General features: G+C 37.9%; 1 protein-coding gene and 1 pseudogene across 26 annotated transcripts in view; one reads left to right on the top strand and one right to left on the bottom strand.

Annotated features, from left to right (window-relative positions):
- Window positions 1–14,946, top strand: part of PDE4D (phosphodiesterase 4D) — a 1,553,091-nt gene that overhangs the window by 992,658 nt on the left and 545,487 nt on the right. The window lies entirely within an intron of this gene.
- NDUFB4P2 (NADH:ubiquinone oxidoreductase subunit B4 pseudogene 2) lies at window positions 160–633 on the bottom strand (annotated as a pseudogene).

Raw genomic sequence — 14,946 nt, 5'->3', positions numbered from 1 at the left:
AGTGTTGATGTGTCATTGGCTGGCTCTGTGTCATTGGCTTGGTCTTGCTTTCACTGAACTTTGGCCTCCGTGAAACTTCTAAGTAGCATTGCTCCTACCTGTGAATCTTGGAAACACACAGGGCAAGTGAAATTCCATTTTCTTCCTTTCTTTCTTTTTTTAATGATTAATAGACAATTTATTTAAGCAAGATCCTTATAGTCATCATTGCCAGACTTAATATGAGATGTTAAATGTTCCATCCAATTTTCCTTCCTGGATAAGTTTTTCTTTCCTATCCCTGTCAGTTTTGAAAACATAATACCAGAAGAAGAGGGGCCCAATTCCACACAGAGCTCCCAAGAGTGAGTTTTAGGAGTGAGTCTGAAATTAGAATAGACATTTGCTGATCTTGCATAGGTCCAACGAATTAAGGCAAGATCTTCGATGAGCCCTTGGTGGTTAGAGTTGGTTGTTGTACTGAAGCAGGTACTCTTGTTTCAGCTGGGCTCTTATGGCCAACCGTTCAGCTTGCATCTGCCAGCCTTCCAGAGATATGTCATATTTGGCTGAGTCGAGGGTCAAGGGCAGAGTGGCCAGGTGCGATGGAGTAAACTTTGGGAATGACATTTTGGTGACCCAGCACACAACTGCCTGAAATTCCATTTTCATGTGACACTTTTGTATCTGTAACCATCAGGTCTGTTCCCTATGTTTTCTATTCCTTAACTTGGCTACCATTATACCATCACATCTCTTTCCTTTTCTAGTGACTCCCCATTAGACTAGCTCCTATCTCATAACCTCCTTTTGTAATTTAATGGCCCAAAGATTAGCAAATTCCAGAAATTCCTAAAGTAATCCAATTAGCTCAGAACATCATAGAGACTTTTTTTTTTCTTTGCCTCATCCTGGGGTTATTTATCAATGAAAGTGACTTTAGATTAGATAGACACTGGCTGCCACATCGTATCGTTGTGACATCCTGCACTTAACTAAAAGGGCTTGACTTAGGCACCATCTCCTTCTCTCTTGGCAGCTGCTCAGTTAGATGTTTTTGTTTTAACCAAAGGGCAGGACTTCAAATGTGACCCTATTTAACTCCATCTGGTTATATTTTGACCTTATGCTCTTTTTATATCCTGATTCTGTCATCCATTCTCTTAGCTGTCCTTCCCAGCTTGATGTAATAGTATTTTCCCAAACTACACCCTTTTCCATAATAAAGATTGTCACTCCTCCCTCAAGCTTCCTTAAGCAAGCTTTATCATATGTCTGATAGGATCTCTGTTTCTGATTGTACTCAGTATAGATTTGTTTCCTGGCACACATGTATGCACTATGTCACTTAATCACAGTGCCCCTATTAGATTACAAACTCCTGTCACCAAGGGTTTTGTTCCCTCTTTTCAAAGCAGAACTTAAAAGAATTTTGCTTACCTTTAAGCGTGCAGTTCACATCATTGACTTTAACTGGATGGTGGTTGATGGCTGATGGTCAACTAACAAAAAAGGAGTTGAGGAGTTGAGGTTTCAGATATAACAGAAGGATACTTAAGACTTTTAAGGAATAAAAAACTAATTTTTCTTAGCACAATGGTTCAGATGAAAGTAAGGGTGCATCAGAGAAGGCTGTCATTGGTTTATTTGTTATATTCCTAGCTCATGGTGATTGTATGTTAGCCAAATATCTTGCATTTGATTTTAAAACAAATCAGAAGTAGATGACTCAGAAATGTTGACAATAAAATTATGGACAAGCCCCTTGCTACAGCAGCTCTTATTAATTAAATATCTGAGACAGCAGAATTAAAAGAGAAGAAAGTGATATACAATTTGGAAGGTTTGGAAAGCTGGCCATAAAATTATTTCTTTCAGCTGGAGATACCTTACCTACTTATAATATATAAAATTTTTGAAGAAATAAGAATAGGTCTTATTTTACTTTGCAGTGAAGGCTTGAAATATTTGAAAGTTCACTTTATTGCAATAGGATTAAGTACATCAAACTTCATCCATTCTTATCTCTCTCAAATATTAGGAGTATAACTTTCAACTGAACTTCTTTGCCTGCTGTAATATACTGTTCTATAGTGATATTTTAAAATGAATACTTTGTGAACATAGTACTAGAAAAAGGATAGTGTTTTGAATATTTTAATAGCCTTACAGGGTTAAAAAAGGATCTTATAAAAAGTATGTTTAGTACCATTCAATTTTTACAAATTTATGCATTTGCTTATTCATATATGTAAATTTAAAATTTACATATAAGCTTATACTCAGAAAAAGATAAATGTTGTAAACACACTTGCATGCACACACACACCATAACAACCACCATGCCATTCAGTGGTTATTTCAGGGTAAGTAGGATTGCAGAAACTTTTACATATTCACGTTTTGCCTATATTTTCTGTTATAAGCTTTTATTTTGGCATGAGAAGAAAAAAATTTTAAAATTTCCCAAAAACATTCTTTGTAATAGTCAAAAATTAAAATGAACAGTGTCTATCAATAGGAGAATGGCTACACCAACAAAAAAAGTCAAGTAAGAAATAAAATTGGCCAGGCCTGGTGGCTCATGCCTGTAATCCCAGCACTTTGGGAGGCCAAGGCTGGTGGATTGCTTGAGCCCAGGAGTTTGAGACCAGCCTGGGCAATATGGCAAAACACCATATGTACAAAAAATACAAAAAAAATAGCCAAGCATGGTGGCATGCACATGTAGTCCTAGCTACTAGGGTGGCTGAGGTGGGAGGATTGCTTGAGCCTGAGAGGCAGAGGTTGCTGTGAGCCGAGATCACGCCACTGCATTCTAGCCAGGGAGATAGAACAAGACCCTGTCTCAAAAAAATAAAATTAAGCAATGGGAAAAGATTCCTCTTGCTATTTTAAATGTTGATCAACATTCAAATTTTCAGTGGTTTTAGGTAACAAGACATGTCAACCTCCTGAAACAGTAATTGTTGTAGATAATAAGAATATATATGAGTTTGGCTTTACCTGATTTTAAAAGTGGAGAGAAAAGCTGAATTGAAGCAAGCATACAATTATTTTCTAAACATATCCTCTCCAGTTTCAGTGTTTTTTAATCAAACCACCAGGAATGGTGCAGCAGACAATGCCAGTCCATGTCTCCCCCTTCATGGTCCCTTAGTTGTCATTAATGGGTGACTGCAGAGAACCATAGGCATTTGAGGACTTAACAGAGATATGTTTTATATTGAGAGTGGACATAAGCTCCTCATTGCCTCATTGTGGTTTGCACTTCAAACTGCAGCGTGTACTTTTTCTAAGCTCTGTGGTCTGCCTTCCTAGGACTGCTTGCCCTGTACTGTTATTTCAGAATGTTTATCTAGTGAGGAGTGCTGCATTGCTCCATTGTGCATCACAGGGCACAGGAAGCAATGGTATGACATTTTTGCTGCACATCTATTTTTGATTATTCTCAAAAGATGAAAATGTTTATCACTGCAGGGGTGTATTAGTCCATTTTCATGCTGCTATAAAGAACTACTTGAGATATGGTAATTTATAAAGGAAACAGGTTTCATTGACTCACAGTTCTGCATGACTGGAAAGGCTTCAGGAAACTTAAAATCATGGTGGAATGGGAAACAAACACGTTCTTATTCACATGGCGGCAGGGGAGGGAAGTGCAGAGGAAAGGGGGAAAAAGCCCCTTATAGAACTATCAGATCTCCTGAGAAGTCACTCACTATCATGAGAACAGCAGGGGGATCTGCTCCCATGATCTAATCACCTCCCATGAGGTTCCCTCCCCCAAAACATGGGGATTACAATTTGGATTACAATTCGAGATTTGGGTGAGGACACAGAGCCAGACCATATCATTCCACCTTTTGCCCTCCAAAATCTCATCTTTCTCACATTTCAAAACACAATTATGCCTTCCCAAGAGTCTCCCAAAGTCTTGACTCATTTCAGCGTTAACTCAATAGTCCAAGTCCAAAGTCTCGACTGAGACAAGGCAAGTCCCTTCTGTCTATGAGCCTGTAAAAGCAAAAGCAAGTTAATTACTTCCTAGATACAGTGGAGGCACAGGTATTGGGTAAATACACTCATTCCAAATGGGAGAAATTGTCCAGAACAAAGGGGCAACAGGCCCCATGCAAGTCCAAAATCCAATAGGGCAGTCATTAAACATTAAAGTTCCAAAATGATCTCCTTTGACTCCATGTCTTACATCCAGTTCATGCTGTTGCAAGAGTTGGGTCCCCACCACTTTGGCAGCTCCACCCCTGTGGTTTTTCAGGGTACAGTCCCCTCCTGGCTGCTTTCATGGGCTGGCATTGAGTGTCTGCAGCTTTTCCAGGTGCGCAGTGCAAGCTGTTGGTGGAGCTACCATTCTGGGGTCTGGAGGATGGTTGCCCTCTTCTCACAGCTCCACTATGCAGTGCCCCAGTGGGAATTCTGTGTGGGAGCTTGCACCCCACATTTTCCTACTGCACTGCCCCAGCAGAGGTTCTCCACGAGGGCCCCGTCCCTGCAGCAGGCTCTTGCCTGGACATCCAGGCATTTCCATACATCCTCTGAAATCTAGGTGGAGGTTCCCAAACCTCAGTTCTTGACTTCTGTGCACCTGCAGGCCCAACACCACGTGTAAGCTGCTAAGCCTTGAGGCTTGGACCTTCTGAAGCAATGGCCTGAGCTGTATGTTGGCCCCTTTTAGCCATGGTTGGGACTGAAGCAGCTGGGATGCAGGGTTGCACAGAGCAGGGGGACCCTAGGCCCACCCCACAAAATAAAGTCTTTCCTCCTAGGCCTCCAGGCCTGTAATAGGAGGGGCTGCTGTGAAGTCGTCTAACAGGCTCTAGAGACATTTTCCTCATTGTCTTGGTGATTAACATTTGGCATCTCATTACTTATGCAAATTTCTGCAGCTGGCTGGAATTTTCCCCCAGAAAATGGGTTTTTCTTTGCTATTACATCATCAGGCTGCAAATTTCTCAAACTTTTATGGTGTGCTTCCTTTTGAATTTTCTTCCACCAGATACTCTAAATCATCTCTCTAATTCACAGTTCCACAGATCTCTACGGCAGGGACAAAATGCCACCAGCCTCTTTGCTAAAGCATAGCAAGAGTGACCTTTACTCCAGTTTCTAACAAGTTCCTCATCTCCATCTCAGACCAACTCAGCCTGGACGTCATTGTTCGTATCACTATAAGCATTTTGGTCAAAGCCATTCAACAAGTTTCTCAGACGTCCCAAACTTTCCCACATCTTTCTGTCTTCTGAGCCCTCCAAGTCTCTAGGAAGTTGCACATTTTCCCACATTTTCCTGTCTTCTTCTGAGGCCTCCAAACTGTTCCAACCTCTGCCTGTTACCCAGTTCCAAAGTCGCTTCCACATTTTCAGGTATCTGCAGTAGTGCCACACTACTCTCAGTACCAACTGACTGTACTAATCTGTTCTCACACTGCTATAAAGAACTGCCTGAGACTGGGTAATTTGTAAAGGAAACGGGTTTAATTGACTTACAGTTCCACATGACTGGGGAGGCTTCAGGAAACTTACAAACATGGTGGAAGGGGAAGCAAACATGTTCTTCTTCACATGGCAGCAGGAGAGAGAAGTGCAGAGTGGAGGGGAAAAAGCCCCTTATAAAACCATTAGAGCTCCAGAGAAGTCACTCACTATTATTAGAACAGCATGGGGGAATCTGTTCCATGATCTAATCACCTCCCATGAGGACTTTCCCCCAAAACGTGGGGATTACAATTTGCATTACAATTCAAGTTGAGATTTGGTTGAGGACACAGAACCAGACCATATCAAAGAGTTTGCTTTGACAAAAGGAAGTGTATCTTTTTATTTACTTATTTACAAAGCAGCTTATTAAAGTTATTAAATAGTTTTCAAAGGGGCAGCTTTTTTTTCTACTTTCTGTATTAGTAAGCAACCATCTATGATTGTAATACAACTGAGGTCTCCCAAGAGAGAATGTAGCACAAAACAAGGTGTGCTATCTAAACCTGTAAGAAATGTTGTGCAGTGAACCAACTCCAGCACAGATATGGAGCTCTCTCAGAAACAACATAGGAAATTTAGATATGTGAAATTCAAATAGAAATAGAAAACTCAATTTAGAGTTTAGTTTGCGTAATATCTTAGAAATGTTTTCATGGTTCAAAGCTGATATTTGACAATTGTGTTAGATCTATAAAAATTCACAAAACATCCCTATAATTTTCAGATACAAAATGCTAATAAGGATTTTAAAGTTCAATGTGGACCACAGGGCTTCTGCTTTTGCAGGTGTACCTTCATTTACATCCTTTCAGTTGAGGAAGGGTGGGTGTTTGAGAGCAAAATGTATGTATAAGGTAAGAAGAAAAGAGAAATGAGAGAGAGAAGCAGAAGATAGTGAGCCATCAATAATGATATTAGTTGGCATTCATTTCAAAAGCCAACCACCCCAATTTAGAGGATTTGCATTTAGGACTAATTAAATTATAAGCTAATTGAGCAGGGACTGAGTTAAGCCTACTGATAGTGCTTCATAAATATTCATATTAACAATAATACAAGATGTTCCTTTTCAAGGCTAAAAACTTTTTCTAAATGGTGTATACAACTTGTGAGTCTTGGTAAGTCAATGTTGTTGCATTCCTGAATTTTTCTATCCCTTTTAAGGATAATTCTAACTCAAGTGAACCGAAATTTTCCCTGTAGCAGTAGAGGTCCTCTGAAAATTGAGGAAGCTCTCCATGTGTAATGCTCTGAAAATGGCAGACATTTCAGAGTCACATTCTGTATATCATTCATGTGAAATGGCATAGGCAATTTTACTCCTCAAGATTCTTTGCCCAGAATTCGCAATTTAATAAGAACAAGTATTATGAATTGTTGAAGATTCTTCCAGCTCTCTTGGAAATAAAGGGTCTTCTCAAATTGTAGCTTTGGTACATTAATAGTTACTCTGGGGGCCTAAATGAGTTAGTTAATGTGCAGCTTAAACATCTGAGGCACACCCAGAAGTAACTCAGGACTGAGGAATTCACCTTCCCTTGCTACTCAATTGCCGTTTGTGTAAAATAGTGGACAGTGACACTGTTTGTGTGCAGCTAGCAACTGTCTCTAAGTCTTGGGTTTGTTGGAGCATAAAGTGCACTCCAGTGCCCTGAGTATACCTGTAAGGGTATTTACCATGATTCATAAGACTTGTTTTAAAATTCCTCTCCAAATAAACACCCTCTTAAATTTAATTTTCCTCATATTTCTATGTGGTTATTTATAGTTCAAGAACAAGTATTTAAAATATTTAAATGATAGCCATTCAATTAACTATTCCAAATTTTAGTTTTTTTCACCAAGGAGCTGAGCTGATTATCAAATATGCTTTATGTGAACTCTGTTTTGTTTAAAGTGTACTGTATTTTTTAAATTTGTGAACATGGGAAATTATACAATGTTCTATAATAATTTCAAACCTGAGTTTTTTTTAAATCTCAATGAAAGCTGTACCTTATCTGAAATGTAAATTAGTGTAAAAACCCTTTCATTCTCAATAATTGTCGGCTACTATCTTTTTATCTTCATGTTCATCAATAGTAAACATTCAACCTTCAACGGTTAACAAATATTAAGTGTTTACCATGTACCAGACACTTTTCTACATTCTGGGGTGACAGATCTAGAATTACAAGTGTATCAAATATTATAACAGACAGGTGGAAGGTGCTACAGGATCAAATAAGAAGAGGACATAAACTTAACTGTAGAGATGGGTTGGGGAGGGAGGAAGAAGTTAGTGTTAGAACAGGCAACTTTTAAAGAATTAACCAGGAAGTTATGCAATTTGGGGTAAAGTGGGGAAAGAGTGTCAGGAAATGAGGTTGAAACAGATAATATAAGATTTGCTATTTATTCAAAAATAGTTTAGAGGCCAGTAATTGGCTGGGAGAAGAATGGTGCACAGATGGGCAAGTGTTGACCTGCAAGGCCAATTAGAAAGCTGTGTCTATAAGTAAAGGCAAGAGATGAGGATGACCTGGATTAGGAAACAAAAAAATCCTCTCTTTTACCTGCAAAAATAGCTGTTGACTTTGTCTCCCTTCCATACAAGACTTGGGGTCTCCACGTTTCCAGCAAGAGACTGGGCAGTTATACATCTGTTTTTATTTTTACTCTGACCTGACTGCTTTATGCAAGATGGGCCAAGTCTCCCTTATACATCAGGAATGCACTGATGTAAAGACAAGATATCTGCTCCTCCAGCCACCTTTCTTCCAGGTCTATCTGCCTTAATTCCTCTTCCCCCATTCTCAGTGGTGCATCATTCTCTACTGCTGTCCTAGTCCTGCCTCAGTTTTCCATTAGTTTTATTTTGCAGCAGAGATTTTTTTTTTTTTTAGTGATCTCCTATTGTTCCTTAATCACCCTTGAAATATACCTAATTAACCCAAGTAAACCTTCATGATGCATGTCTCTTCATCCTAGGAGTATAAATGATCCTTGTATATCTATAGGAACGTTTCTATTCCAGTCTTTGAAATTGAGGAATTTCATATACATTATATATATATACACACATACAGACACACACACACAACGTGTATATATGTGTATATATGTGTATATATGTATATGTGTGTGTGTATGTGTGCATATACATATTCCATTAGTTATGAACAGCTCTTTTTTATCTCTTAAAAGCAGCAAAATAAAATATTGACATTATTCAGTGAATTGATAGTTGAAATGTAAGGATTTCAGAATGAAAGTTATGTAGTAAATCCTAGCCCTTTCCGAATCCTGATTTCCTAAATCTAACCTATATGGAATTTCTTTTTTTTTTAATAAAGGTTCCATGAAACTTGGCCTCTTTCCTATCATCTTAAATCGTTCTCCTCTTATACTTCTCTTAGTTCTACTTCTTTCACGTGAAATCCATTCTAATGTGAACCTCGGTTTCTCTGAGAGGTGCCTCACCACAATGCCCATGCCTTTCTGCACTTCCCACGTAGATCTTCTTGCCCCAAATACCTACTGTGAGCCTTCTTTCCTCTGTGCCTTTCATTATTCCACTCATCTGAAATTCAGTCGCACCAACTTTTTAAGCACCTTTATCAGGCACTGTGGTCAGTAAGGTTTACAGATGAATAAGGCATGATTGCCAGTCACTGACAACAAATTTGGGGCAGGGAGAACAGCCCCATCCCCATAAATGGTCTCATGTTTCTTTTGTTTGTTTGTTTGTTTTGATAGAATCTCACTCTGTTGCCCAGGCTGGAGTGCAGTGGTGTGATCTTGGCTCACCATAACCTCTGCCTCCCAGGTTCAAGCAATTCTCCTGCCTTAGCCTTCGAAGTAGCTGGGACTACAGGTGCTGGCCACCACACCCAGCTAATTTTTTTGTATTATGAGTAGAGATGAGGTTTACCATGTTGGCCAGGCTGGTCTCAAACTCCTGACCTCAAGTGATCCCCCCACCTCAGCCTCCAAAAAAGCTGGGATTACAGGTGTGAGGTACCGTGTCCTGCCCATAAACAGCCTCATTTATAAACCATAAATACATAAGTGCTGAGATAGAGATTTGTGTGTGTGTGTGTGTATTTGGGGGGTGGTGGATACACTTTGCCCAACAAATCCAATATTGTTTACTACTTCCTGTGCTTCCCACATGACTGTTCTCTCATCTTTCTCTTAAATTAATGGAAATACCCTCCTAACCAGTTTTCCGACTGGTGCTTTTGCCCATCCAGTCTAATCTCATAGCAGAGTTATTCTACAAAAACAGTAATTAGTTCACATCGTGTTGCTCTCTGCTCAAAGCCATCCAATGGCATGCCATCTAGAGTCAAAGTCAAATTCTTGCTATGTCTGTTAAACTTCTACATGATCTATGTCTACCGCCCCTTTCAAGTGACCTGGATCTGACATCTTCTCAAACCACTGTCCGCCTCACCCACTCACTTCTCCACTCTGACTTCACTGGTGTTCCCTGAATGTGCCAAGCATGTTCTGCATCACAGCCTTTGCACTACCTGTTCCCAGTGCTGGGAATTCTCTTCCTCTAAGTATCTGGATGGCTGGTTCCATCCTGCCCTTCAGATCATCGCTCATATGTTACTTTAGCAGTAATCCTTTCCTATTCATGCTTTTTCTTCCACCTTGACGTTCCCTGCTGTATTTTTATTCATAGCACCTATGACCTACTGTATCCTTTGTTATCTGTTTATTGACTGCTTTCATCCAACAAGAATGTAAGCTCTATAAGGGCAAGGGCTTTTTTCTGTTTTTTCACTGTTGTATCCTCTGTGCCTAGAATGGTACCTGTCACATAATAGGTGCTCAATGAATATTTGCTAAAGGATGGAAGGAAGAAGGGAAGAGGAGGAAGGAGGGAGAGAGAGAAAGAGGAAAGTTGAAAGAAGAAAGGAAGGGAAGAAAGATGGTAGGGAAGAAGGAAGGACAGCAGAAAGTCTCATGTTGGCTTTACTAAGTCTCTAACACTTATTAACACCTGCTTTGTCTTATAAACAGAGATAACACCGGCCTGTAGCCTAGTGCCTTTCGAAGGCAACATTATCTGGATAGAAACTAATAAGGTTGTTCTGTTTATGCTGCATTTATGGCAAGAGTTACTGACTTTCCATTTATAGTTGTGATATAAAGTTTCTTCTTTAAATGAAGACATTTTATTTCAGTTTTTAAAAAACTAGTCTATTACAGAATTTTTAAAATTAATAATAGTATATAGGGGATGCAGAAACAACAAAAATCATGATGTAGAAATGTGGATATGGCAGAATCATGAAGCTGGTAGTCGAATGCCTGAATTGGGGATAAGTGACCCCTTCAGCCATGAAACATTCCCTGACTATTGCCATCTTCCCCTCTTTCATTCCTGTTGTTTATTCGACTCCTGTACACTATCATGGGTTGAACTGAAACCATTTGGTATTGCTCACTGTTGTTTTGGGTGTTTTAGTTCTATCTTCCTAAATTGATATAAGATCCTTGATGTGAGTGCTCATGTCCTGCCCCCCTCCTCCTGGGCAGCCACCATAGTGCACAGCCCAGCACTGACAAAACAGAACATTAAGGATGTTTGCTTGTTGTATTCATCATGACTCAGCTACACAATAAGACATGAGGTTAAATAGTGTGCAGACAGTAAAAATACTCGAGCGTGCTTTATTTTTTTTTTTAGCAAAAGAAATACAATAGCAAACATCATTTTGCCTTGCAAACTGGCAAAATGAAATCACTATTTTTGCCACTGGTGTAAATTTTATACACACACACACACACACACACACACACAAACACACAAGTACATACATATATACTTATTCAATCTGGTAGGATAAATTAATCACTAGGACAAAACCATGAGTTAATAGGAGCCAAATTCCAGCACATCCAATTGGAATGCTTGAGAATTAAACCTGCTAAAAATACTGACTGGAATAGGAAGACATTCATAAAACGATTAGGCACATTTTAGTGGAAGTCAGCAACAACAAATAATTAATTGATTTAACTAATAAATTTAGATATTTAAATTGTCAAGGAATTCTTTGTTCTTCTGTTTTATAAATGGTATTAGCATTATCTTTTTTACTGGAAACTTTAAAGGTGTAAAATACTGTCAAGAGCAAAAGCAACTTAGATTGCCTGTAATGACCATTACATTGACACCATTTTTTGCAGTATGATTTGCTATTAAATGTGAATAACGTGAAGAACAATAACACTCCTAGATCACCTGCTATGAACCAGGCACTGCTCTAAATAGCTCAGGTATTTTAACTCATGTAACTGCTACAACCCTATGAAATATATCCTCCTTTCAGCTTCATTTTACTAGTGAGGAAACCAAAGCTCAATGAGGCTCTGTTAAGTTACCCCAGGTCACACAGCTAGTAAGTGTCTGAGCTGGGTGTTAGTGCACAGTGATCTAGCACCCAAGTCCATATACTTAAACACTACCTTTGAATGCTGCTCTGTACCCTATATAAGGAAGCTGTGGCCCAAATAGGCAAACCTGTGACAAACGAATCCTAGAGTCTAAAACAAAGGTTGAAAGGTGACTGTAAAAGTAGGCATTTGATCTTTAAAAACCAGGTGAATTTGACCTGCCATTCTTGACGGCATTAGTAAACATTACATTTCTTATAATTTACATTAAAAATCTAATACTTCGTTTACAAAAAAAGACTTTCAAAGAATATGCATGCATTTTATGCAAGGTTAAAGAAGTTTTCAGTGCTGGCTAGTGAAATGGGGGTTAGATGCCCTGTCTATACTACATGTTTAATCAATGTAATCTTAAAATGAGATGACCTTGTAGCCAAGCATTTTTTCTTTCCTTTATAAGCAATATTAACTATATTAAATCAAGAAAGCTAATAGTTTTTCGTATTTCTCAATAACCATTAAGTTCAAACATTGGAAGAGTTTAATATTTTACATGAAAAATCCACAGGCAATAATTTTAAGTGACTTAGAAAATATTTACCGTATTTTAACCTTAAATGACTGTGTATGTGTGTGTGTGTGCCTATGTGTGTGCCTATGTATGTGTATGTATGTTTATAATCTAGTAGTTCTCAAGGAGTATTGGAGAAAGAATATGTGATCACATGTAGTTTATAAAAGCTCTCGTGTTTTTTGAAAGACAAATTTTTTGTCAATCTAGTGGTAACATGATACTAATTTTTTAATTAATTTTAATTTCCCTGATAATACATTTAAGCCTTAAAAATATTGTTAGTGATTCATGTTTCTTTTTCTATAAAAATTATTTCTAAGCCTTCCTCAAATTTCTTCCAGACTCTTTTTTCTGATTGATTTTTAAGAATTTTAAAAATATTCTGCAATTTCTCTTGATCACAACAAGTGTTGGAAATATCTTCTCCCGAAGAAAAGAATGATTCTTAAAAAAATACTTTAGTAGCAGTTTTTTTCTATGAAAAAATTAGAAGTAGCTTTTTCTTGGCAGCGTTTTCTTCTAGAGCAATAGGGAGGAAAACAGAAAGCTGTAGACTGTTATCTTCGTCCATACATATGTTAGTGCTGGAACTCAACTCCAAAAACTTTGTTCCTTTGAAAATCATATCCCTCCAGAATTGGTGGAGTGGTGATGGTGTGGTGTTGAAGGCCTATTGCCAGGACTGAGAAGGAAAAGCTAAAGAAAGAGGGAAAAAAAATCCAGAGAAAGTGACTGCCTGGGGAGGAGGGATAGGCAAGAGACCAAACATCGATTCTAAAGGGAATCTTGCAAATGCTCTGGCAAGTCTATGTATGGGAACATCATTTGCCTAGAAGATGCTCCCCTTTACTCCCTTTTTCCCTATTGGGCTGGTTTAGAGGTCAATAAACTTAATTATTTTACATCTAGTAATGTCCCAGATGATATAAAATGTCATTGTTTTCATTCTATCATATAGTTCATGAATCACAGTTAAAATAATGTTTCCCTTCTAAAAATTTTTCAAGTTTTTTATTTCACCGTAAAGTTCTTTTACATATGGAATTGAATTCTGTGTGCAGTGTGAGAAGAAATCCACTTTTGTATGTTTCCCATATGGCTAACTAGTTATTTCCACACCATCGATTGACTGATCCATCATTTTTCCACTGACTGGTAGTGTTACCTTTGACACGCATCAGTACAGTTGGTCTGCTTTACCTTTCTAGCTATAATTGTGGCGTATCCCTCTATTAATTGCCTCCTTTAGTGTTATTCAGTGCATTTTATACATTTTGTTACGAAGATCTTATACATTTTTTATTCACATCCACTGTAGACTTCTGTTGCTATTACAAAATGGCAACAATTTTCAGTTATATTTTCCAAATGCTTGCTGCAGCTATATCCAAATCTAATAATTTTTATATCGAACAAATATTTAGAAACTTTTCAAACTTTGATGTACTTTTAATGATGTTTCTTCTGATTCTTTTAGGTATTCTTTGTAGACAATCGTATCATCTGTGAATAACAAAAATTTGTTTCTTCCATTCCAATTTTTATACTCTATATTTTATACCACTTTTTAAAATGATTTATTGACTGGCTGCACGGATGCTTCTCTGACTTTAAAATATGAATCCCTGAGGGATCCTTTTAAAAGGAAGATCTTGGTTCAGTGGTAGGTCAGGCACTGAGAACCTGCATTTCTAACAAGCTCCCAGGTGACAGTGAGGACACTTGTCCAAAAAAAGCAATGCTTTCAAAAGACTGTTAAATAGAAATGGAGAGAACAAGCATTCTTTACTTGTGTCTACAATTAAAGAGCATGCTTCCACATTTCACCATCAAGATTAGATATCTTTGATTAGTTTTGGTAACTTCCTCCTATTCCAAATTTGCCATACATTTTTATCGTGAATGGTTGTTTAGTTGAATAATTTTCTGTGGTTTTTCCCCTTTAATCTCTTAACATTGTGAATTATTAGAACATCTCATGTTTAAAGCCTTTCATGCCATATGCACACAAATATACATACACATATAGGTACATAGAAAAATATGTATTTATTGCTGCTTTATTTGCTAACATTTGGTTTAGACTTTTTAACCTGTCTTTATGATTCAGATTGGCTTCATGTAATCCTTGAGGATTCTTAATGTTTTTAAGTTTCATTATAGAATGAATTAGGTGTATACCCTCTTATTCTAAGCTCTTTACATGGAACTCACTTTTATACTAGTTTTTGAGACACACTCTGTTATAATCAGCATCTTACTGATGAAGAAACAGAGGTACATGGAGGTTAAATAACTAGCCCAAAGTCACATAGCTAGTAAGTGATAAAATTCGTTGGTTTTTGTCTGTTGAACAATGAAGAGAATGGTTTCCTAAAATTTGTTTTGTTTAGTCACTGATTCACTAGTTCAATCTTAAATGTAATTCAGTAGTTCAGTCCTAGAAACAGTTTTCAAAGCCACTAAAAACAGATTTAGATCCTAGTGAGGTAAAAATAA

The sequence above is a fragment of the Homo sapiens genome, chromosome 5 (genome assembly GCF_000001405.40).
Source record: "Homo sapiens chromosome 5, GRCh38.p14 Primary Assembly".
NCBI lineage: Eukaryota > Metazoa > Chordata > Mammalia > Primates > Hominidae > Homo > Homo sapiens.
The sequence above is the reverse complement of the archived record's forward strand: the minus strand, read 5'-3'. Positions and strand labels throughout refer to the sequence as shown.